The sequence below is a fragment of the Homo sapiens genome, chromosome 2 (genome assembly GCF_000001405.40).
Source record: "Homo sapiens chromosome 2, GRCh38.p14 Primary Assembly".
NCBI classification, from domain to species: Eukaryota; Metazoa; Chordata; class Mammalia; order Primates; family Hominidae; genus Homo; species Homo sapiens.
This window is the reverse complement of record NC_000002.12, coordinates 167122339-167146585: the sequence shown is the minus strand read 5'-3', so window position 1 is coordinate 167146585 and position 24247 is coordinate 167122339. Positions and strand designations below refer to the sequence as shown.

General features: G+C 37.4%; 1 protein-coding gene and 1 long non-coding RNA gene across 4 annotated transcripts in view, besides 1 other annotated feature; one reads left to right on the top strand and one right to left on the bottom strand.

The window, feature by feature from the left end:
* Nucleotides 1-24247, bottom strand: part of XIRP2 (xin actin binding repeat containing 2) — a 371274-nt gene that overhangs the window by 113168 nt on the left and 233859 nt on the right. For all 3 annotated transcript variants that reach the window (NM_001199143.2, NM_152381.6, NM_001079810.4), the window contains exon 3: nt 10524-10677. In NM_001199143.2, the coding sequence (NP_001186072.1) occupies nt 10524-10677 (154 nt within the window). The remainder of the gene's footprint in view (nt 1-10523; nt 10678-24247) is intronic.
* Nucleotides 5095-6294: an enhancer, noted in NCBI's record as "P300/CBP strongly-dependent group 1 enhancer chr2:167996802-167998001 (GRCh37/hg19 assembly coordinates)". NCBI's record gives its function as "activates an origin of replication core promoter dependent on BRD2, BRD4, P300/CBP, MED14 and CDK7 cofactors, with strong dependence on P300/CBP, by STARR-seq in HCT116 cells {active_cell/tissue: HCT116}" and the evidence as "EXISTENCE:reporter gene assay evidence [ECO:0000049][PMID:35650434]".
* On the top strand, nt 5631-23777 carry XIRP2-AS1 (XIRP2 antisense RNA 1). The gene is made up of 2 exons (NR_046665.1): nt 5631-5784; nt 22061-23777. It is a non-coding gene; the product is annotated as an XIRP2 antisense RNA 1 (long non-coding RNA).

Sequence of the window (24247 nt, the reverse complement as noted above, 5' to 3'; positions counted from 1 at the left end):
TTTCATATTTGCATAAATTTATTACTCTGCTTTATATTCTATTCTCTATAATTAATTTCTTTCTTTCTTTCTTTCTTTTTTTTTTGAGACAGAGTCTTGTTCTGTTGCTGAGGCTAGAGTACAGTGGCAGAATCTCAGCTCACTGCAACCTCCGCCTCTTGGATTCAAGCAATTCTCCTGCCTCAGCATTCCAAGTAGCTGGGACTACAGGCATGTGCCACCATGCCTGGCTAATTTTTGTATTTTTTAGTAGAGATGGGGTTTCACCATGTTGGCCAGGCTGGTCTTGAACTCCTGACCTCAAGTGATCCACCTGCCTCAGCCTCCCAAAATGCTGGGATTACAGGCATGAGCCACTATGCCCAGTTCTGTATAATTAAATTCTTTGAATTTATCTTCTAGATCATTAATTCTCTCTTCAGCAATATACAATTAGTTGTATAACATATCTGCTGTGTTAAAAAAAAAAAACTTAATATTTTGGAAATTGTCTTCGCTTCTTTCCCAAATCTGACTGGCTCTTGGTTTTTATAATATGTTGCTTCAATCTTTTATTTTTCATGATACACTTTTAAAAAATATTTTAATCCAGCTCAATATCTTTTGAATTCATTTACTGTTTAATTCTGTGTTTGCATTTTCTATGAATCTCTTTCATGGTGAATTATTTTCCTGTGTGTTTGTAAATTTTGGACTTTGTGTTAATGGTCCACCGTTACTGATTGTGGTCCTTCACAGTGGCAATTTGAGAGGTGTGAAGGTGATTTGACTTATTCCTGTCATGTACTCTGCAACATAAAGAATCTACAACAGCCTTAAGTTAATTTCTCAGTTTGGGGCTCCCTGAATATTTCTGGCAGTATATTTTGTGTGTAATTCTGCATACATGCAGTCTCATGGAAGACTTTTTGCTCTGCTTCCTTCTAGCATCCTGAGTTGCCAGTAAAAAGTTTGACTCCAATTTGACATTTGACATTCATTTCTTTTTTGGAAACATGCTCTTTTCCCACATCTGGACATTTCTGGGATTTCATATTAATAAAGGATCAATGAAAAATATTATGATATAATCTCACTGCATGTGTTGCTACCTAATTCATTGGAACACTGTGGTCCATTTAATTTGAAGGCTCCTACTATATATTCTTTCAGCTCTGAAAAGTAAATTTTTTCCCAATGACTTCTTTAATAATTCCCCTTCCTCTTTTCTTTCAATTCTGCTAATTGCACTCTTTCATGAAATCAACAATTATTTCCCCTTCCATTTGGTGGGGAAAATTTTTGGACTTCCATTTTAATTTGTGCTTAATTAGCTTACAAAAAGATGGGAATTTACAGGAGTGGGAATTGTAGATAACAAGAGTATAGAAATGAAGGGCTATAGTGGATTTAATGTTTAACACATGTAGTATATAGAATATTATTGCATATGGTGTTATTCATTATTTTTCCATTGGGAAATATAATTATTTTAAAAATTATAGATAGAATAAATCATTCTTTGGCATGGCATAAGCAAAAAACACCAGGAATGAGCAAAGACAAGGTTATCTTTTGATGCAGTACAAGGATAGCGATTCAAATATCCACAGCAAACCATCAAGAAAAATAGTTTCCAACTTCCAATGCAGCAGTTATTTAAACTCACCAGAATTCTTAACTTGATTAGTTAAAAAGTATGACCATCTGAACTTCCACTCAAAGTTTTTAATCTGAATTATTCTATGCAAAATCTAGGGACATTAAAGTTTCTTAATAGCTTCCCACGTACAATATAACTATGAAGCAATTGGCTTCATATTCTGATGCCATATCCCAAAAGGCAATATGTCATTATTAGGGATGAAGAGTGAAGATATTTAAGCAATGAGTCAGAAGTATTGTGAAGTGATGACATAAAAAGATTTGGAGGTGATATATCAAGTTCTTCCCTGAAGTGTATGGAAAGCAATGGTCTTATCACGTCACTAGAGAATGATTACATATCTCATAATAAGTCAGAAACTATCTAGAATGTTAAGTGCTGAAATATTAAACAAAACAATTAACAGAGTGAGTTTCCTATTGTGTTTGGCAAAATCTGATTTTTTTTTTTAAAGATGATCTTCAAAAAATAGAACGACTGGCTGTTTGTCTTAGCCAGTACAAAGTTATGTGGTATTCTTCAACAATTCCTGAGACCCTCTGGCTAGGACTACGTGTACTGTTATGAGTCCTCATATACTATTTCATCAGTTAGGAAGTTGTAAATAAAGAATCATAACAGTGACATGCAGAATTTATTCATAGAACATTATTTTAGCCCTATCTCCATATTTATGGCTGTAGAAAAAGAGCCAAAAATAGAAACACGTGGCTCTTTGTAAATGTAACTTCTCAAAGAGAAAAGTTTATGTGTTATTATTATCTGTGTTTTCACATATATTAGTTAAGTTATTCTTATATTGCATTATGTATATTATATATTTTAAAGGGCATGTGAAACTACATTAAAAAGAAATAAGAAGTTAGGTTTAAAAGTTAAAAATTTATAATTAAATTTTATTTCATATAGTGAAGTATTTCTAATATTAAATGTCTATAATGAATAATGTAGAGACAATAGACATTTTAAATAAAAGTATTTGGCTTAACTCTTGAAAATAAAAATACATTAAAAACTTCAAATATTTTGAAAATTGAATTTTAAAGAGTAACATTGCTAATTAGCTAATTTATGTAGTGGCTTTTTTTCTATTGCCCATGTCTGAAATATCTAGAAATACACAGGGTTTCTCTAGAATATTGTGGTTTTTTTTTTACGATGGTGAAAAGTCACCAAATATTTCACTCCTTTAATTGGCGAAAATTGTTAAAATATGTCAACGAGCATATTTCTGAAAGTAGAAAAACCAAGTTTTTCCTTTTCATGCAAACCTGTCTTCCTAACCTGGCAGCTGAGTCTAATTAACCTCAGCTGGAATTGTTTCACTCATAGCTTAGAATCTAGCACCCACTCTGGCCCCAGCTCAAGGGTCTATAAAGACATTAATTGAAATGAGCTGTTAAGCATCAAACATATGGAAGTGTCCCTATTTTCTTCCAAATTGCTTACTTTCCGTATCCCTTCATGGTTTTGCAGGATCTACTTGGAATTTCCACCCTTTCTCCTATCCCTCCTTCTCACACATGCGTTCTTTCTCCTCTTGGTCAACTCCCAGTCATGCTTCAAAAACACTTTAAAAAATCAGCATTTCTATGAAGCATCTGTGGGCCCACGGACATAAGTAGTTGCTTCCTGTATCTTTTACTGTAGCACTGTTCATCTCCTAGTGTTGACATCTGTTTATGAACCTGCCACCTTTCTTAAACTATAAGCTACTCAGGGGCAGGGGCTGTGTCTTCACATACCTGTAGCCCCAGTGCCAAGCACAGGGGCAGGTCCATAGTACCTGTTCAGTAAATATTTGCTGAATTTATGGATTTTACTACTGCTCCCATTCTGTGTTCGCCTCTGATACCGAAAAGAATTCATGAGTAACTGAATTCTAGCTACTTCTCAAAAGCTTCATAAAACTGCTTTATTTTTCCCACTTCTCTTCCTGCCTTTGTTCCTCCATTCCTCTCTCCATCTTTTTCTCTCTCCCTTCATCCTTCCCTCCTTCCCTTCCTCCTTCCTTTCCTTCTTTCCATTTTTTCAAAATCACTGCCCCAGAACACTGAGTTTCTTTTAGCCATGCCCTAATCCTTAGTGACTGGGCTTTTTATTCTTAAACTCAGTCTTGCTAGGATTGTATCACCAATACCTGTCATCAAACTTCTCTGGCATAGCACCGTCTGCACTTGTGAACTTCTAACGTCTTTATTTTGGAGCATTGACAGTCACATGAGCCATGCCAACCTGAATAGATACATGGAGTCATGAACTCAGTTTAAGAAGTGGGATTCTTGTGTTTCAGCTTTGTACTGACATTCTAATTTCAAACCCATTAGGTAACACAAATCCCATGTACCTTTCTTTCTCTCTTTTTTTTTATTTTTTTATTTTTTATTATTTTTTGTGATGGAGCCTTGCTCTGTCATGAGGCTGGAGTGCAGTGGCATGATCTCAGCTCACTGCAACCTCCACCTCCCGGGTTCAAGCCATTTTCCTGCCTCAGCCTCCCGAGTAGCTGGGACGACAGGTGCATGCCACTATGCCCAGCTAATTTTTGTATTTTTAGTAGAGACGGGGTTTCACCATGTTGGCCAGGCTGGTCTCAAACTCCTGACTTCATGATCTGCCCACCTTGGCCTCCCAAAGTTTTGGGATTATAAGCGTGAGCCATTGTGCCCGGCCTGTACCTTTCTTATAATAACTAATTCCTGGTTTGGCTCTCATGTGTGGGCTCCAAGCCCTCAGTCAGCCCTGCGGTTCTACCTGAACTTTTTGCCCTCTGCTCTCCTTTCTTGGCCTATTCCCTGTAGAACAGAATAGAACAATATCAGAAATCCACAAGGTGCAGACTGATAAACCAGGGTAGGAGTGATTCCACACACTTCCCATTGGTGACAGTGGCAAGATATGAGGATTTTACTGCGGTATGTTTCCTCTATCTTCAAGTGACTGCAAAAAATCAGCAATATAGTTGCTCCAACTAGGGGGCCTGGGATCATTCAGAGAATATTCTGCCTCAAACCTTAGGAGATACATTTGCCTTTAACAAAATATAACTATGTATATTTTCTTTTCTATATTTTATTTTTGAGACAGGGTCTTGCTCTGTCACCCAGGCTGGAGTGCAGTGGCATGATCTTAGCTAACTGTAACCTTGAACTCCAGGACTCAAGGGATCCTCCTGCCTCAGCCTCCCTGGTAGCTGGGTCTACAGGTATGTGCCGCAAGCCCAGCTAATTTTTTATTTTTTGTAGAGATGGAGTGTTGCTATGTTGCCCAAGCTGGTCTTGAACTCTTGACCTCAAGCAATCCTCCTTCCTTGGCCTCCCAAAGCACTGAGAATATTTACTTATTCAAGTCTTAGTTTAAATGTCACCTTCCCGTGTGGCTGATTCTCATCATCCTAATTAAAATTAGGAATTTCCATCATGCACCATTCCCACTATCCTGGCCTATGTTTTCTATAGCACTTGCTGTCTTCCGATATACCATTTACTTCTTCATTATTTTTTCATCCAATGTATGATCTCCTGTTAGAAAATATGCTCCATGGGCAGGATTTTTTCTTTTTCTTTTTGTCTTTCATTCATTGATGTCTCCAAGCACCTAGAATAGTTCCTGCCACAAATAGGCACTCAATACTTATTTGTTTGATGAATGAACAGATGAATGGGCAAATGAAAACAGCACATCAAAAATATTTGGTAGAAATATGTACACATTTCTGACATTCTACAGTCAGAATATTAAAAATAATATTTAGTTTTTTCCAATTTCAGGGTAGTAAAGTGAATGAATGATTTTTTAAAGGTATACTTAAATTTGTTGTTATCTTTCTTCAATGGCCTCATGTTTTAAAATTAAATATGACCGCGTGCAAGCTCAAAATGAGTTCCTGGGATTTTGGAAATTTTCCAGCATTCCAAGGTGCTGATTTATAGTTACCACGTGAACGACCTCATGAATAGACCTTTCATTACACAGTCCTCAGAATAGCAAACTCCCAGCTGCCCCTTCTTACTGGGCCATGACTTAACTCTGGAATGTGTTTTGACTCACTGACTGTAATAGTGACTAAAAGGAACATGTGGGAGTCATCAAAAATCTGCAGGTGGATCTGACTGTAAGAAAGAGAAACACTTAATTGGGTAAGCAGATCAATTAGAGATGATTACTGATACAAAAAATGGATTCTTTATTTTACAAAGGCCATCACCACAGAATTGTTTTAGATGGTGATCCACTGACAATATTTTTCCTAATGAAATGTCTCCTGTATGAACTAAAATAACATTATTTGGGGCATGAAATAAGGTACAGTAGGTAGGGAAGCAAGTCCGGAAGCAGAAGCCGGTGCTGGGAGTCCTGGGTCCACCATCGTGTATCCAGAGACCAGTTATAAAAGCCTGTCCTCTGAGTCTCGTTAGAGGGGACAGTTCAGGCAGAGCAAAACAAATGGTGTCGATGGTGTTAGCTGGAACTACTCTGTGACTAAATGTCTGATTTACTCCGAAGTTTCCAAAGAAGCCCTGTTTTAATAAAGAAATGGTGCTGTTAATTTTAAAGTAGCCTGTTGCACCATTTCATTTAACTTTGTTAATCTTAGGTATTTAGACAAAGGTTTGCTTCTGACCTGAGGGGATTCATATTTCCAAGACAATTAAGCTCTAGAAAAGATGTTATGGAAAAAAGAATGCAAAGCCTCACAGTAGTATTTCTGTTTCTATGATAAAACTATTGCTTTATCAGCACATTGAAAAGGGAACACAGTTGAAATTATATTTTTCTTAATTTTATCACCAGAAAATACTAAAGAGAGGAGATCATCCCTAGTTCTCGAAGACAAGTTTTTAATATGTGAATTATTGCTATTTGCCTTTTATCTATTTTGCCAACATGAACTTTCTCCTTATCCACATACATTTTAATAAAGGTAAATTGGCAGATAGAGGATCACTTAAAATGAATAATTAGCATCTGGATCAACTCTTATGAAAACGGTAGACAGCTCATTGGACGAATGTCAGCTTCCAATATCATGACGATTTACATGAACATTACTTAAAATTCAATGAAATTAGCAATTATGTTGGTCAGTTGCACTAGCTACTTTTTAATTGCATAATAGCTACATGTGGCTAGTGGTTACCATATTGGACCGCACAGATATAGGACACTTCTATTATCATTATCACAGAAGTTTCTATTGGACGTCATTACTCTAAAATGTCTGATTTTAAACAAAAAATAAGATATGTAAATGACAATCACACAAATACATATACATACTACAGTATTTTAGAAACATTAATGACTGGAAGGATCCCCTCACGTAAAGAGCAGTAGAAAACTGAAAGAACAGAAGTCTCAGTTTGTTTTGTAAAACCCGTCAGAGGAGATGAATGGCCATTATAAGAATAAAGAATGAATTTAGTTTTAATGGAGCAGAATAAAAAGAGAAATACAGCAGGTAATTTCCAAGGTTTATTGCAAAAGCCTGGAAAAAGTGACTTTGAATATATATTTTATCTTTTGACATTTTACATGTTGATGACTTAGAAGATTAAAATTAAAATTATGAGTTAGAGAATAAAAGTGAAGGGCAGGCAATTGTCATATTAAAAAACTCCAAGTCATATAAATCTGATGAACATGACCCATTCAATTCTGATATTTGAAGCATTCCTTGATCCAGAGTTTTTCAGCAGGAAGAGTATATTTTTCAATTCTACATACATCTAGATCAAACACCAGTACCTAAGACTTCCAGTATTCACTTTCTAGCTTACTGGTCTTAAAATATCTAAAAGAAATTCAACAAATCATATATATATATATGCATATATATACGTACGTATATATATGCATATATATATATTTTTTGAGACAGAGTCTCGCTCTGTTGGCCAGCCTGGAGTGCAGTGGCGCCATCTCGGCTCACTGAAGCCTCCACCTGCCAGGTTCAAGTGATTCTCCTGCCTCAGCCTCCCGAGTAGCTGAGATTACAGGCACCCACTATCATGCCCAGCTAATTTTTGTATTTTTAGTAGAGATGGGGTTTCACCATGTTGGTCGGGGCTGGTCTCAAACTCCTGACCCTAGGTGATTCGCCCGCCTTGGCCTCCCAAAATGCTGGGATTACAGGCATGAGTCACTGTGCCCAGCCCAACGAATCAGATTTTTATATTAGTATAATACAATTAATCAAATCATTTACACTGATTGATTTGTTTTCTTTCATATCCCATCTATTATCAAATTACCCAAATTTGTCAAATTATGGATTTGCTATGCTTGACATTTAATGACATATGGTCTAAGTCTTCCTAGAATCATTTTAACAACTGTTAGAGTGTATCTCCAAGAAAATGTGAATGGAATGCACCAACATGCACACGGGAGCACTATGGTTTATTTGACACCAATACATAAGTGAGGAAAAGGAGCAAATAAAATAGACGTGGTGAGAGCAATTGTCCACAAACTGGGAACCTGGGAGTGTATCATCAGGCATAAAAAGAGAGGCTGGGGAAAATCATAGCACCTTTCTGTGCTGTTCTGGTTCTGCCATTGAGGATATTGGAGTGGAACCAAACTGACAGGCATTGCTAGTCCTCAGTCCTGGAATGGAGTTATCAATTCACACTGTTTACTAAATTTTAAATATGCAGGATATTAGGTAGCTGCACTTAAATTATCTTTTATAAGTGTAATTTTAAAAATCTACTGTTTTTCATATTACTACAAATAAATACTGCCTCAATATGAAACTCTTGCGGCTAGTTAAGATGTTTAATGTATAAGGCTGTCACAGTCACTCATATAATTGTATAAATTCTGAAATCTTTCAGTTATCACACTTTATTTAGAAACATGTGTTTATCTTTTTGGAATAAAATAAATATTTACAGCAAAACAGCAATATCAAAATGCTCTTGGTTTGTAGGTTTTGTCCAGTTTAACTTGCATGCTGTCCAAGTTAACTAAATTAAGTATTAAAATAGTTCATTCTTGTCCCAACAGAGATAGAAATTTGGGGCCCCATGAAAGAACGAAAAGGATCCCATAATGAAAGAATTTTGTTTCTTTTAAATGTATTGCTACGTAGGAATTAGAGTTCTTGTGCAATATACAGATAAAATGAAATTAAAATTGCTGCTATGTTCATCCACCTTGCAGATGCAATTTTCCCACCTTGTGTTTGGAAGTTTACTTCTTGTTATTGTCAATGTACCTGGAAATGTGTATTTGAGGTTACTTTTAAATTTCAGTCATATCTTGACAGTAAATAGTGGTTACACTCCAGAATACTTTTTCTAAGCTTTTAACATAAAAAGGCCTTTGAAAACCTTTGCATGGAAATCAAAGAAAACACAGATGAGGAGAAGTAAGATGTGATGAGTGGAGTTAATTATCTCATGTAACTTCGATCAGTTTGCCAAACTCATTTTTGCCTCCCTATGCTAAGCTCTCCACAGGCAAGCATCATCAGAATATAAATCATTCCTTAAAGCTTCTTTTTCCTTGGCCTCTGCTAATCTAATTCTTTTGCATTCAGCCAAGTGCACATAAAGTTTAATCACAGGCCAGAAATATGTGGAGTAAATTCCTCAAGACTGATACTAATCATATTAGGATATTAATTGGGCATACCAAAATGAATTGAAAGTGAAAAAGAGATTGAAATCTCAATTTACATGTATTTAGAAATCCATGCCCAGTCCATCATTAGCAAACTCCCCTTGACTGTTCCTACACCTGCCTCCCACTCCAAATTACATCCTTAAACCAAACGGAATCAGAATGGGCTGAACCATATGTAAATTCCCCTGAAGACCAGTCTGTTCTGTCACAGTGTACAGCTTCTCAAACTTTAATGTGCACATGAATCATTTGAGGATCCTGTTACAATGCAGATTCTGATTTAGTAGAACTGATGTGAGGCCGAAGGTTCTGCATTTCTAATAAGCCTCCAGGTGATGCTGACGTGCTGATTCGCAAACAGCACTTTCAATAACAAAGTTTTAAAGCAGAGTACCATTTGCTTTCCCAAACTGTGAACTGTAATATTCCAAAGACTTTCCACATTGCTCACATGGACTGGTGACTTGACAGTTTGCTACAAATATTCCAAACGATATCTTAAAATTTGTACTAATTATGATCTTTAACAAACACCACAAATACTACAATAGACATTATTTGGCTAAAGAGGAAAAATCCAGAATGTGCCTAATCAGAAATGATAAATAAGATCTGTATTTTCCAATAAGTTATTTATATTTTTCATGTCTGTCATTGTTGAAAATAATATTAATAGTGTGATTTCTAACATACGAGCTATTAACTTTTTAATGATATTTGTGAAGCATTAATCAAATTTATGAGGTTCTGTCTAAAATGTAACACTCTTATGTCACTTTGTATTCCAAATTCATTATGCAAGTTTAGTTTAATTGTCTGAAAAGGAGATGCTTAAGGCATCTTATTTATTTTTTTATTTTGCTACTGATAGTTACTCCTAGTTTATTCTTTTGTTACCCACAGACAGAAAGACAAGTATGTTTTCCTTTTATTTTCACAAAAGTTAAAGTCAGATTATGGTCAAGTGCATTGTTTCAAACCTCTAATACTGAAAATGCTTGTTGTACTGGTTTATAGTCAATTAAAATATATTCTATTTAGTTTTAAAAATCTAATTAAAATATAATAAGGATAGAAGCATTTATAAACACCTCTATTTTTCCTAAATTGTATTTCCTAAACTATATGCAGTCATTATTTTCCTTACTAATTTTTAAACAAACCCCTCATATATTTTATTTATTAACCACTCATGTTGTACAAGGTATGATGTCAAGAAAGCATATCAAAATGTTATGCTAACCTTCAAAGATGCGGCTGTGACCACTTTCAGGTGACATCTTGTCAAAAGATGTTTCCTTGCCTTTCTTGTCTGAATCTTTCACAGAATCCTCCAGCTGGCTCCCAGGGTGACTCTTAAAAGCTGGCGAGCACAAACTTCGCTCAATTTCCACTTCCTGTTACAAGACATTAAAGGGTTGTATGTTAAAAGCTATCAGTAGGAAACAGATGTGTTTTTTAGGGGGGTTAGAAGGCAGAAATGAAAGAGGGAGGGATTTCTGTCATGAGGGATGTTTTCAATATGCTTCAGGTAAAATGTTGATAACTTTGCCAAGAACTGCAAACATATATCTGAACGCTTAGTTTACTTTTCTGCCACTGGTTCCACTTCTGAATTAGCCTTCCTTTCATGTGTGTGTGTTTTTTTCTCTCATAAAAGAGAGAGAGTGGAAATAAGGGTCACAATACAACATAATATATGTTAATGGATGCAACTTTCTAGGCCTGAGAAATGTTGATGAGGGACTTTCAAAAAATGGCAATGTAAAAACATTATATGCTGAAGACAGAAGGAAATGAGTTTAATGTCATGTTCACCCTGTAATGATAACCTTAGCAATTATAGAGTTCCCAAATTACAAGCCCATTCAGCCAGCATACATTGAATACAGTTTTTCGATTCATAAAGATTATGAAATTACTTCTTCAGATAGTAATTTAAAGGTGAAGAGATAAAAGATTCCCAAAGAAAGGAAATATAAAGGATATTTCCAACATAGAAAGTCTAGCATTCCTTATTGTATAGGCCAATAAGGAATATACAGATTCCTTATTGTATAGGCCAAGTAATGTAATCAAATAAAACAAACCAGCCAAGTAGACTAAATATTTTGAATAAAAACATTGCAAAAAGTAAGTAAATGACTCAAGACAGTTCAAGAAGCAAAAGTCTAGTTTTAAATATGTCAAGTAATATGTTGAAAATGTTTTCAACAGCTACACATAAGTTAAAGATTTTCATACAGGAGGTCACACAGTAGTCTTCCCTGTAACTGTAGGTTTGGTTTCTGCAGTTTTATTTACCTGCGGTCCACAATATGAAATGAAAAATTCCAGAAATAAACCATTCATAAATTTTAAATTGCATGCTGATCTGAGGATCACTCCATCTGCCCAGGACGTGAATCATCAGTTTGTTTGTCCATACTACCCACCGTGATTCACTTAGAAGCTGTCTTGGTTATCAGATGGACTATCGTAGTATTGCAGTGCTTGTGGTCAAATCACTCTTATTTAACTTTTATTACAGCATAGTGTTTTAGTTAGTCTATTTTATTATGAGTTATTGTTGTGAATCTCTTACTGTGCTGAATTTAAAAGTTAAACTTTATTATAGGTATACATATATTTAGGAAAAGACAGAGTATATGTAGGGTTCGGTACTATATGTGGTTTTAGGCATCCACTAAGGGCCTTGTAACATGACCCCCATGGATAAGAAGGCACTATTGTATTTCTCTAAGCAGCCATTCAGATAATGATGTCAGTAATTGTTTTTCACTTTTGTTACCTCTTAAGTACACAGACATGAGTGAGTCAAGTTTGAGAGACAGCTAAAAGCTTCGAAACATTCTTAGAGTAGATACATTTTCTATGTCTTTGCTATGGTTAGAAAAGAAAAGCTTTTCAATTTATATATAATATATACACACATGTAAATATATATATACATACATCACATGTACATAACAAGTATATATGAAGATATATACACACACGTAAATATATATATACATATATCACATGTACATAAGTATATGTGAAGATATATATTCACACAAATATATAATATACATATACACATGAATATACATGAATATATATTCATATATATGAATATATTCACTATGTATATGTGTGTACATACATTTATTACAAATGTGTGTATATACACATATATACACATATATATAAAATCACTAGAAATATTGTTATCTGGTAATCATATCATCTTTGGATACTCCCAAAATATATGATGTATGCTGTCTTCATTAGAGTGAACTTTAACTGAAGCTAAAAACAATTGCAGGAGAAAAATAGAGAAAAAGAACTTGTCATTTTTTTCAGGGCATTCCCTTTAACATGTGTTTCCAACTATTACAAAAAATCCATATGTTCATAACTTGTAGTGAGGTATCATGCTGTTGAGACACAGTGTCAGACATGCCATTACATGTGGCACGAGTATAACATCCTTATCTCAGTTCATTCTGGTGTCCTCTCCACTGTCCTGGAAGGTGACTGCTATGACATGAACGCAGTATGTTTGCTTGTTTTGTTTCAGCAATTTAATCCAACTGCTAGCATTGGCAAAAACAAGATGAGATAAATAGAAGGTGCAGATCCCTACAAAGTTGTGATTTTTGTTAGGAAAATTTATGTTTTGGTAAAAGGTGGAATACTGAACATGGTCCATGGACTCAGACTGATGATATTAAGGAATAATTTCTGTTTCATATACCTACATGGAAATGTGATTTGATTAAATTTCAGCTGGTGATGACATTAACTTATACTATATTGGTATTCTCATTTTGGAATTCACAAGTATCAAGAGTGCATCTTGTACGGAGGCAGTAAGGAACAATCTACATGTGAATGTAGTGGACTTATTTTCAAGCCCTAGTCATCACATCAAAGTCATTCTGAGGCAAGCTCTTCAGGGCCTGGCAAGGGGTAAGGAGGCAGCTGTGTAGAGATGTAAAAGAGCTTCTTGGATGAGGCTGAATTGAGCTGTCTCCAATCAAAGCAGTGATCTGCTTTAATCTCTCGTAATCTGTTTTATACACTGTGCTTCCACAAAAGATTTACTTTGAGTAAAAATCTAGAAGCTTAAACAAATGCGTACAATACCACTTTAGAAGGAACAAATGCAGCATTTCACAATAAGAAAGTTGGATTCAAGCCCTCCCTTGGCTACTAATAAGCTTTGTGGCCTTGATTAAGTCACTTGCCATTTCTAGGACTAAGTTTTCTCAAATGTTCTTGGAAGAGATTTAGTCATTGAACACCTAATGTTCAACAACCAACTACTGGTGGTATAATTTTATTTAAAATAAAATAAAGAAATGTTTTTCACCTTTTGTGGCTTCCAGTCTAGAGAAGGAGGCAAATAGTAACGAAGCCCAGGAGTCAGTATTAAACATGCAACTCTAATGCTGAGTGTCTTAATGGGGGAATTAACTCAGTGAGAGAGAGCCCTGTATAGGGCTCTCCCAGGGAAACGACCTTCAGCTGATATTTGAAGAATGAATGGGGCTTAACTACGTGAAGAGCTTTCCAGGTGAAGACAATATGTGCAAATGTCCTGGACTGGGAGGGAGGACAGAGGATAGAGTAGGTGGGAGCAGGGAGGCTGAAAGGAAACACGTGGTGCTGGATGGCCTGCAGAGGCAGGCCGGGAGCAGATCACAAAGGCCTGCAGCACCATATTTGCTTTGTCTTAGCTCAATGGGAAGTTATTGAATGTTTTTAAGTGTGTGTGTGTGTGTGTGTGTGTGTGTGTGTGTGTGTATACACATGCACACATGACATAATCAGGTCTGCCATGTGAAAAGCGCAGTCTAACTCCAGAACAGGATTTCTAAATCTTGTCACTGTTAATATTTTGAACCAGATAATTCTTTGTTATTAGAGCCTTATTCTGTGCAGGTAGGATGTTTGGCAGCCTTCCTGGTCTCTACCCACTAGATGCCAGGAGCATTTGTCCCTAGCTCTGGAGTCATAACTATTAAAAGTGTGTTCGCACATTGCAAAATCTCATGTGGGGAGCAAAGTCACTGCTGGTAAAGAGCCACTACTCCAGACTGGGTTAGAGTAGAAGGTTACAATACATGTGGAAAGAGCAGTTAGTATAGCAGTACTGCAGGCAAGTGATGATGATCTTAAAGAAAGAATGATGATGGAGATGGCCAGAAGTGAACCAAGTTGAAAGCCATTTAGGAGATACAACTTTCAAAGCTTGGTCATGGATTGAATCGGAAGTTTGAGAAGGATAGAGAGAGGAGGGGAGAGAGAGAATGAGAGAGAGAGGGAGTGAGAATGGGAGAGAATTTAATTTTTCTCTATGGCATGCACAACAAAATGGATTGTGAAGCTATTAAATGATGTCAAAATATCAGATAAAAGCTGGTTTGAGGGAGATGATAGATCATGAGTTGGGTAGCAAGATGTCCAAAAGGCAGTTGGATGTGTAGCCCTGGAGCTTAGAGGAGAGGTCCAAACTGAACAACTAATTTAAGTCATCTGCCTTCCGTGGTAATTGAAACAACAGGCTTGAATGAACTTGCTTAGGGGGAGAGTATATAAAGTGTGATGGAGAGTGAGTCCAGAACCAAGCCTTGAAAAATGCCAACATTAAATGGATGGCAGAGGAGAAAAATCAGAAGGAAAGAACATCTTTGACAATATTGAACTTGTATTGAAAGTATTAATTTGAAAAGGACTTAAATATATCTTTTGAGTTGAGCAACATGGATGTCAACAGTTGAGCAAAATTGCTTCCTTGGAAGTACAAAGGTTGGAAGGCAATTTGAAGTGGGTGAGAGAGTGACTGGGAGATGGTGAATGGAGCTCACTTACTGAACATTTCAATGTTAATGTGGATGGGAGGAATAGAGCAGTAACTTGAGAGAGATGTGTTTTGTTTGTTTTAAAGGAAGAGTTTTGCATATGTTGAAAAGCTAACTCAAATTATTTAATGAGATAGAGGTGCTGACTATATAGAAGAGAGCAATAACAATCAGTGAAGGAAAATTCCTGAGAAGGGCAAGAGGATGGAACCCAAAGCATGGGTAGAAATATAGCCCGAAGGTAGCATAACAGAAAGCGTTCCTGTTCTCACTGAGGGGAAGGAGGGTCAAATTAATGTAGATATAAGTGATTTGCAAGCTTGGTAGCTTGAAGATAAGAACCCAGGCAGAAGTTGTCTATTTTCTCTGTTATGATGCAAAGTCTAATGAACATAGGGGTATCTGAAGAGAATGAAGAAAGTTTACCTTAATTGATGGGGGGAATGGAGGAAGAGAGATGACTAAAGATGACTGTGGCAGTGCAGCACTGGGGGCCCATTTGAAGTTGGTAATATTAACTCTGCAGGGCTACCAATAGGGCCTGTTAAGTTACATAGTTACTTACGAATTCAGAAAACTCTCCATAGTTCTAGTTTGGGCAATGAGAAAGTATATAGCTGACTTCAGCCAGGGAGCGGTTTTGTGAGGAAAAATATAAATAAAATTTCTATTGCAGAGTGGGGTTAGGGCAGGGAGAGACCAGGTACAGGAAATTTAGGTCGCCACCAAGAGATCTAAGAGAGCGATTGAAATGATACACTGTGCAATGTAAGTTGGATTAAAAGGAAAGAAAGAAAAGAAAGGGTAAACTGGAAGACAGATAAAGGGTCAGCAGACTGGAGATCTTGGTGAAACTAAAGAACCCTTTTAGTGTGAATACTTGGCAAAGCAAATTGTAAAGAGTGGTGACTGGGGCCACTGAGATGTTTGCTTTAGTTTGTAGGGAGTAGGGTAACTTGTTAGGATCCAGCGGTGACCAAAAAATGAAAGCTAGGGTAGGGGGAAAGTTATTAAATAGGAGGAAACCTAGGAACTCAGAGGCCATGATGGTGTCCCAGGAAAATGGAAGGACTTGAAGGCAGAGAAAAGCTGTAAGTTGTGTATCAATGTCCTTGTAAACGAGGGAAACCATTGAATTTAATAAATAACAGTCATGATGGTTGGTGGTTGGTGGGGAAGGTGCAGCTGACTGAATGAGTCTCAGATGAGCAGGGGTTTTTTTTAAAGAAAAAGTAGGAGAGGAGTGATTAGGAAGAATGGTCTCCAGGTACATGGAGACAATTCAGGGACACTGGTGATTTCAGGGGAGGGCCATGTTTCTGTTAAAGCAAGAAGGTGACAGAAGTATTTGGAGAAGAGGTGGAGGGTAGAGAAGTCATTGCTGATTATGGAGAGGCAGTTCCAGAGGTACTGGTGGAGTCTCTCGCTTAAATAATATGTAAATAAGTAAAATCTCTCAGTGAGGTCTATTATCTTTACTAGTTTTATGACTCTTCAAAACGAGGAAAGCAATTGAAAATAAGGGAAACAAACTTGAAAGAGAGCAAGATAATTTTTCTTTTCTTTTCTTTTTTTTTTTTTTTTGAGACTGAGTTTTTCACTCTTGCTCAGGCTGGAGTGCAATGGCGCGATCTCAGCTCACCACAATCTCTGCCTCCCAGGTTCAAGTGATTCTCCTGCCTCAGCTTCCTGAGTAGCTGGGATTACAGGCATGCGCCACCACGCCTGCCTAATTTTATATTTTCAGTAGAGACAGGGTTTCTCCATGTTGTTCAGGCTGTTCTCGAACTCCCAACCTCAGGTGATCCACTTGCCTCGGCCTCCCAAAGTGCTGGGATTACAGGATAATTTTTCTTTCTTACTTATATATATTTATTGCTTTAACATATGTATAATTATAATCTTAGAAGATAAAATATTTTTTAAGATGTGAGAATGAAAAATGCCAAGTCTTTAATACAACCCAATGTCTATTTCACAAGAGACATGGAGCTGTAGAGTCCCCTAAAATAATAAGAACATCTTACCAGGCATTTGAAAAGAAAGCAGGTTGCCCTACTGCTTTATATATTTTCCTCTCAGTGTGGATCCGTGAGTGAAGAGGTCCCCAGGAAAATATAAAATGATAAAAAGAAAATATTTAGATTTGTCTACATTTAAAATGCTGAGCTAGCTCGTGTACACTCCCAGACTCAGTGGGTTCTTACCTTTAGAGAAATAAAAATATTAATAGAAGCATAAAGAAGTTTTACACAGACATAAAGAGAAGAGCAAAAATAAAGGAAAATTACCAAAATATAAAAGACCAGAGAAGAAACCTTGTATGAATTCTGCTGTGTTACTGTCCCATCTGGTCTTTGAACTTTTATTTTTATTTTTTCAGAAGTCCTTTCCTGGAAGACTGTACCTTCTCCCACTATGTATTAAAAATATTTCTTCCCTCATGACCTAACTCAGTGCAGTCTCCTCCAGGAAGCCCCTTCAATCATTATATTCTATACTCATCTTTCACTCATTCAAAATATTTTTGAATAATTAATCTATCTCAAGAAATGTTTTAGGCACCATAACTACAAAAATGATTAAGATGCAAGTTGGGTCCTCAAGAAGCTCATAGTGTAATGGCAGGGAAAGATACATCAAGTGAGTATTGTAACAAAAAAGAGTGTGATAATAAAGAAATGTAGGTGTCCTGGACACTACAGATGGAGGATTCTGGGGAGATGTGGTCAGAGAAAGCTTCCTGAATTTGATTCTGTAGGTAACAAGAACTCTTGCAAGTGAATTAAGTGGGGGTGGCGGGATTAGATTTGTGCTTTAGATACATATATCTGTCAGCTGTGTGAAAAACAGATCATACAGTTGCCTCTCAATATCCAAGGGGGGATTGGCTCCAGGACCGCCCCGGATACCAAAACCCATACACGTTCAAGTCTCATAGTGAGCCCTGTGGAATGTGTAGATATGAAGTCAGCTTTCCATATTCACGGGTTTCCCAGCTCGCCAACACTGTATTTCCCGTGCATGGTTTGTTGCAGATACGGAACCTGTGAATATGGAGGGTTGACTACTTACTGAAAAAATCCTGCATGTAAGTGGACGCACACAGTTTAGACCTGTGTTGCGCAAGGGTCAACTGCAATGGAATAACACGGTAACATCTTCTGTAGTAAATGTAATAAGGAATTTATTAAAATTTCCAATTGAGAGATAGAAAAAGCCTACATTAGGATAGTGAGAAGGGGACTAGAGGGAAGAGAATCCATTACAAATATTTAGGCGTCAAAGTAGTAGTTTTTAGGATAAAAGTAGTGAGGGAGTGCAAGAATTCCAGCATAATTTCTAGATATTCTAATTGAGATGGCTTTATGAAATTGATAAAACAGGGTGAATGTCTTCCCCAAATGAATGTGTGCCTCAGAGAAGTGAAAACTGATCGTGGGCTTCCTTCCGGACTGACCACAAAGAATGAGTTGATCTAGAAGAAAACTGGGGGAATCCAGCACACGCCATGCCCTCAGTTTTGGGGCAGCACTCTTCTGGATGAACCCCCAGGGGGACCCCAACAAGCATATACTTCTCTGTACCTCCCTATGTTAATTTCATGCATAAAAGTGAAACTGAACTTTTCCATGAAAATATTGATACAGAACAACAGGGTTCTCTGGCTTTAAAAATGATGCTGGAGTTTCATTCTTAAGGGCCAGGAAGTGAATTAAGTTTTTGACATGTTGAGTTTGAGCTTCCCCTGAAGACATCCAGGTGAATACGTCCAGCAGGCGGCGAGATATCTGAAATTCAAAGAAGTCACTACTGGAGTGAAAGATTTAGGGCTCAGCAGCAATAAGGTGGTAGTCTCAACAGTAAGACTCAATTATTATTGAATTAGAACATGCAGAATCAGTATAGATAGCTGTGAAACAAACCTCTCAGGCATTTGGGGGGCAAACAAAGATTATCTGGTGAAGGCAGTAGAGGAGAAACAGTCAGAAGTTCAGCCACCATCAGTCCACATGAAGCATTTCTGTAAGCTGGAAAAAGGTGCCTCCTCAAAACACTTTTCTCTATCTGTCAGAAGGTTGTCACAATGTACTGATTTCATTAGACCAGATCATGTTACTGCCATCTGCTGGAAAATCGTCATGATAGATGCACAACTCTACCTTATGTTTCATGTGCATCCCCTTCCCTTAGATGTGTGCCCTTGAGATGCTTTAAACCTGCACAACTATTTGTGGCTGACACAGGAAGTCAGGGAAGAGTGCAAAGTCATGAACACCAAGGAAGTAGGGCATTTCAAATGCAGCAGGGAGTTTAAGAAAAAAATGCAATAAAAATATCTCCAATATGCCCAAATTTGGGCAATTAGGAGGTAGCCTAGGTAAAAACCATTCCTATAGAAGAGAGTTGGCTTAGGAAAGACTAATAATGAAGAGAAAGAGATGGCAATGTAAATTCCTATCCTAAAAAATTTGAATAGTAATAATAATAACAGCAATAATAGGTAGGAGGTATTGAACGCTCATTACATATCAGGCATGGTGTTAAGCACTTTAGTTGTATTATACTCATGGAATTTTCATTTCAACCCTATGGGAAGGTGCTATTCTCATTTTATGATGCTGACAGTGAGGTTCACAGCAGGACATGTGATCAAAGGCACAGGCACAGGAGATGAGGGTGTAGGTGTGGATATGTAGATGGATGGGAGTTGGGAGAAGATCACTGCTGTCAGCCCCCATGGTTTTTCCCATCTCCAAAGAAAGCAAATGACAAGTTATTGGAGGAGAGGCAGAGGGCAGTTTTCCCAGAAGATCTAATTTGGAGCCAGAGTTTAATGTGGAGCTCTTCCATTTAATAGAAGTTACTTTGGCTACCTCATAACATCCTTAGCCTTAGGCTTTTCATCAGAAAAATAAGGACAAATCATGCCTCCCCACCAATTTTTACAGTACTTTCATAGGACAGTTTCCTCATCTGTATGCTCCTGTGTAATGTACCTTCCACTCCTCCATCAAGAAGTGAGGCTATTTCTCCTCCATGAATCAACATTCATCTCGTGGGAACTTTTCTGAGGGAGCACAGCAGAAATGGCACTTGACCAACCTTTCCAGTCTTGGCTTAGCCCTTCACTGGCATGGCAGGTTTTGCTTCCTGCCTCTTGGAAGCCAGCTACCATGTTAGAAGTGTGATTATATCTGAGACTACCGTGGCCTCAAAAAACAAGGTGGCAGAGAAAGAGAGAGTGAGAGTGTGAGAGAGAGAGAGAGAGAGAGAGCGCACAAGGAGCACAAGCTACCTAGATATGTGAGTGAAGAAAGAAGCCTTGCAGCTTCTGCCAGGGTGTCCTGTCTCTCAGGACTCTCATTTTTGGGAGGCTCCCTCTCAGAAGCCATCACCACGTATTGAGAAGCTCACATCACTTGGAGAGATCATTTGTAGGTGCTCCATTCTGTGGCCCCAACTGATGTCCCAGGCAACAGAAGCATCAGCTGCCTGGAGGATATTGGATGTTCAGTCCTATCATGGATGTTCAGTCCTGTAACTTCATATAACTATAACCCTGGCCCACGTTAGATGAAAACATCATGAGATATTCCAAGTAAGGCTCTCCAGCTGAGTTAAGTCAACCCATAGAACCATGAGTGATTAAAACAAACTGCATTAAATAACCAAATTTTGGAGGTAGTTTGTTATGCAACAATAAAGAACCAGAAAATATTTTACTCACCATATTTCCTATTGTTCAGCTTCTTTGACTCTAACTTTCCTACTCAGAAATACGAAAAATGAGGAAATGTAGTCCTTAAAGAAATCATAAAGGCCAACATTCCTTGAATATTACTTTGTGCAAAGTGCTCTGCTCTAAATACATCCTTTTTATTAAACAGATTTAACAATACTAATGAGGTAGCTACCTCTATTTTACAGTGAAGAAACTAATGTTAGAGAGCTTAAGTAACTTGCCCAAGGCCACACACTTAAGACAGTGGTGGACTATTTCAGTCTGATGCTAAGCTGGTATTTTTAACTTCTGCATCATCCTGTTTCCCTACTGTAATTTATTTATCAATTCCAGAAACTGAAATAATGTAGGCTAGAATGGCATGAGAGGTAAAATACCAACTCCTTTACAGCTACGTATCCTATTCTTCTCTAAAACTCTTGTAGCATTGTGCCTTTTACATGGCAGGTACTTGATAAATGATGAGCTGACTCTTAAAAGTCTCATGACATTTTATATTGACATAGTATCCAGGAACAGCAGCAAGAAGAATAGACAAATACAATAACTAGATAGAGAAATTATAATGATCGTCACAACATCATCACATTCTACTGCACACATCACTTTAGAAGGGTCAAGAGAAACAATGTGGCTTGCCCCCTCATTTAACAAGGCTTGATGAAGTATTGAGAAGTAAGGTTTAGCAGCTGAGTTAACTGGGCTTCCTGGTTTCCCAGTGACTTTTCAGTAACTTGGCACTTAGAACCTTTTACCTTTAGACTGGTGGCTCCTGTGGGTTCCACCAGTCTGATCTGGGCCATCCTTCTGGCTATTCCCAAAGGGACAGCAGCATTTAATGAATGCATTTTCTGCTTCTCCACCAGTGTTTACACGTTTGTCTAAAGAAACCTCCTCTGAATGCCCCGCTTTGCCACCATTTTCTATAGAAATTCCAACTGCTTTCACATGGGGTCGAAGTGACACCTGGTTTAGGAAGCTTTCCCCAAATGCCCCAGCTAAGAACAATCACTCCATGTCAGAGCTCCTCTAGCATTTACACCTTTACCATTCTGCTTCGTACTCTAGTCACTTTTGACACATCTTGTTTCCCCCACTGCACTGTCAGCTCATTAAGACCATGCTTTATCCACCTTTGTAGCCACACTGAGTCTAACATACTGCTTTCTTTGAACATTGCAGGTACTTACTAAATGTTTGTCAAATGGATTTGAATATTTTGTGAATTTTATATTCACATAAAGGATTCAGAAGAAAGCGCAACTGAGAAATGTCCAAATATGGTGAAGACACTTCTTCTAGAGTGAAAGACATAAAGAAAATAGGCTAACTCCTCTGGGGAGAGGAGGAAAAACATAATTTATATCTCTATGTATAATGAACTAAAACTTTATTGCCAAAACTTTAAAAATGTTTGTTTAGATGGAACTCAGCATCTAAACTTTTCTAAAAACCCATGATACGTGAGAGAAACAAAATCAGTCCTAAAATTACGGTCTGTAAGCAAGGAGACTTTTTTTCTAGAATACTATGAAACAATTTTTTTAATGGATCATCTGTTCTCATGATATTTCTATTACTCCTTCCAGAATGGGTTTACATATTAAATAACAAAGCAGAAGCTACCATTTCCAGGGAAGAGAATGCATCAAATTATTTATGATTTTATCAATCCTGATTAACTGCACAGCCACAAAATCAACACCATCCTTGTCACTCCTACAGGCGCTTGATGCCTGAGTTCTACATTTCCTGTTTTATTCCTGTGCACTCAGCACATCCATCCACTTTAGTGAATTGATTTCATTGAATACTGTTATGGGTTGAATTGTGTACCCCTAAAATTCTAATCCCCAGTACCTGAGAATATGCTTGTATTTGGAGACAGGGCCCTTAAAGATATAATTCAGTTAAAATGAGGCCATTAGGATGGCCAGTCTGACTAGTTTCCTCATAAAAAGAAAGCAGTCTGACTGGTCCTCCTTATCAGAAGAAATTTGGACCCATAAAGAGACAGCAGGGGTGCATGTTCATAGAGGAATGAGCATGTGAAGAGGCAGCAAGAGGGAGGCCATCTGCAAGCCACGGAGAGAGGCCTGGAATAGCTTCTTCACTTATGGCTCTCAGAGAAAACAAACCCTGCAAGCAACTTGATCTTGACTTCTAACCTCTAAAACTGCAAAACAAAACAAAACAAAACAAAAAAAAGTTTTTTTCTCTTCTCTGGTTTAAGCTACTCAATCTGTGGCATTTTGTTACGGCACCCCTAGCAAACCAGTACTCTACATTTATCCTTACAGGCATAAGATTATAACTGGGCATTTATATATCTATTAAAGTAAGTTTCTTCGTAGCTTTAAAAATAGCTAGTTGTGTGTCTACAGCCAGACAAGAACTTCTTAATAACGGTCACTGACTCTGCACCACCCCCAATGGATGAATTAAACAGAACAACTGTCAAAATAGTTGTGTACTCATAGTTTTGAATGCAGATTTGCCTCACTATGTTTACTCTCAGTGAGTGGAAAGCTCACATGTGGTACAAGGTGTGCAGACCTTAGATCCTGAGACAAGCCACAGGCAAACATTTTCACAGCTATTTTATAATCCCCGATCAAAATGAGATACATTCTTGAAATGCTGAATTTTTCAGATATGTTCCTACCACAATTCTGCCTGCATTCCAGTCAATTTTATTAACATCTGACAGATTTTTAGGTTCTCAGGTGAAACAAATGCAAGCCCTATCTGGCCCTTGACAAGCAAGCACAAATTAAGGCACACAGTCCCATGGAAGTCCCTGGCATGAAGACCCAAATAAAAAAACTGTAAATGCAAACTAGGAATGGAAAACACATGCAGTAAGACATGTTCTCAAAATAAAAGACAGTCACTTGAATTTCTGTAGATTGTTCAATGTGATGTACCTATTGATCCATACTGTATTATCAATTTGATAGATGTGTTATGAATTTGATAACAGAATATTTTCTCAAAAAGGGGCCTTTTGCTCACAAGTACACTAAGTAGGCAGCCATGTGCCTGCAGTCTTCAGAAATGCTCAGTTAAGGGACCTTGGGTCTTTCAGAAGGAAGAATCAGCTTCCTGTGCTGATACTATCTAGAGACAGTATCCTGTCAGAGAGGCCAGATTGCCTGGACATCCAAGTGAACACTGCTACACATTTTTCATTCTGGTGCTGGAAACGACGTCACCATTCACCATGGGTAGGGCTTCAACATTTCTGATGCCTGTTATTTCTCTGCAGAATAAGCCTTTTCATCCTTGCTTCTCCTAGAATGTGCAAATGAATAGAAAACAATTTGGCATATATGCACCTTTTGGGTGAAAAATCTTGTACTGTGCTCT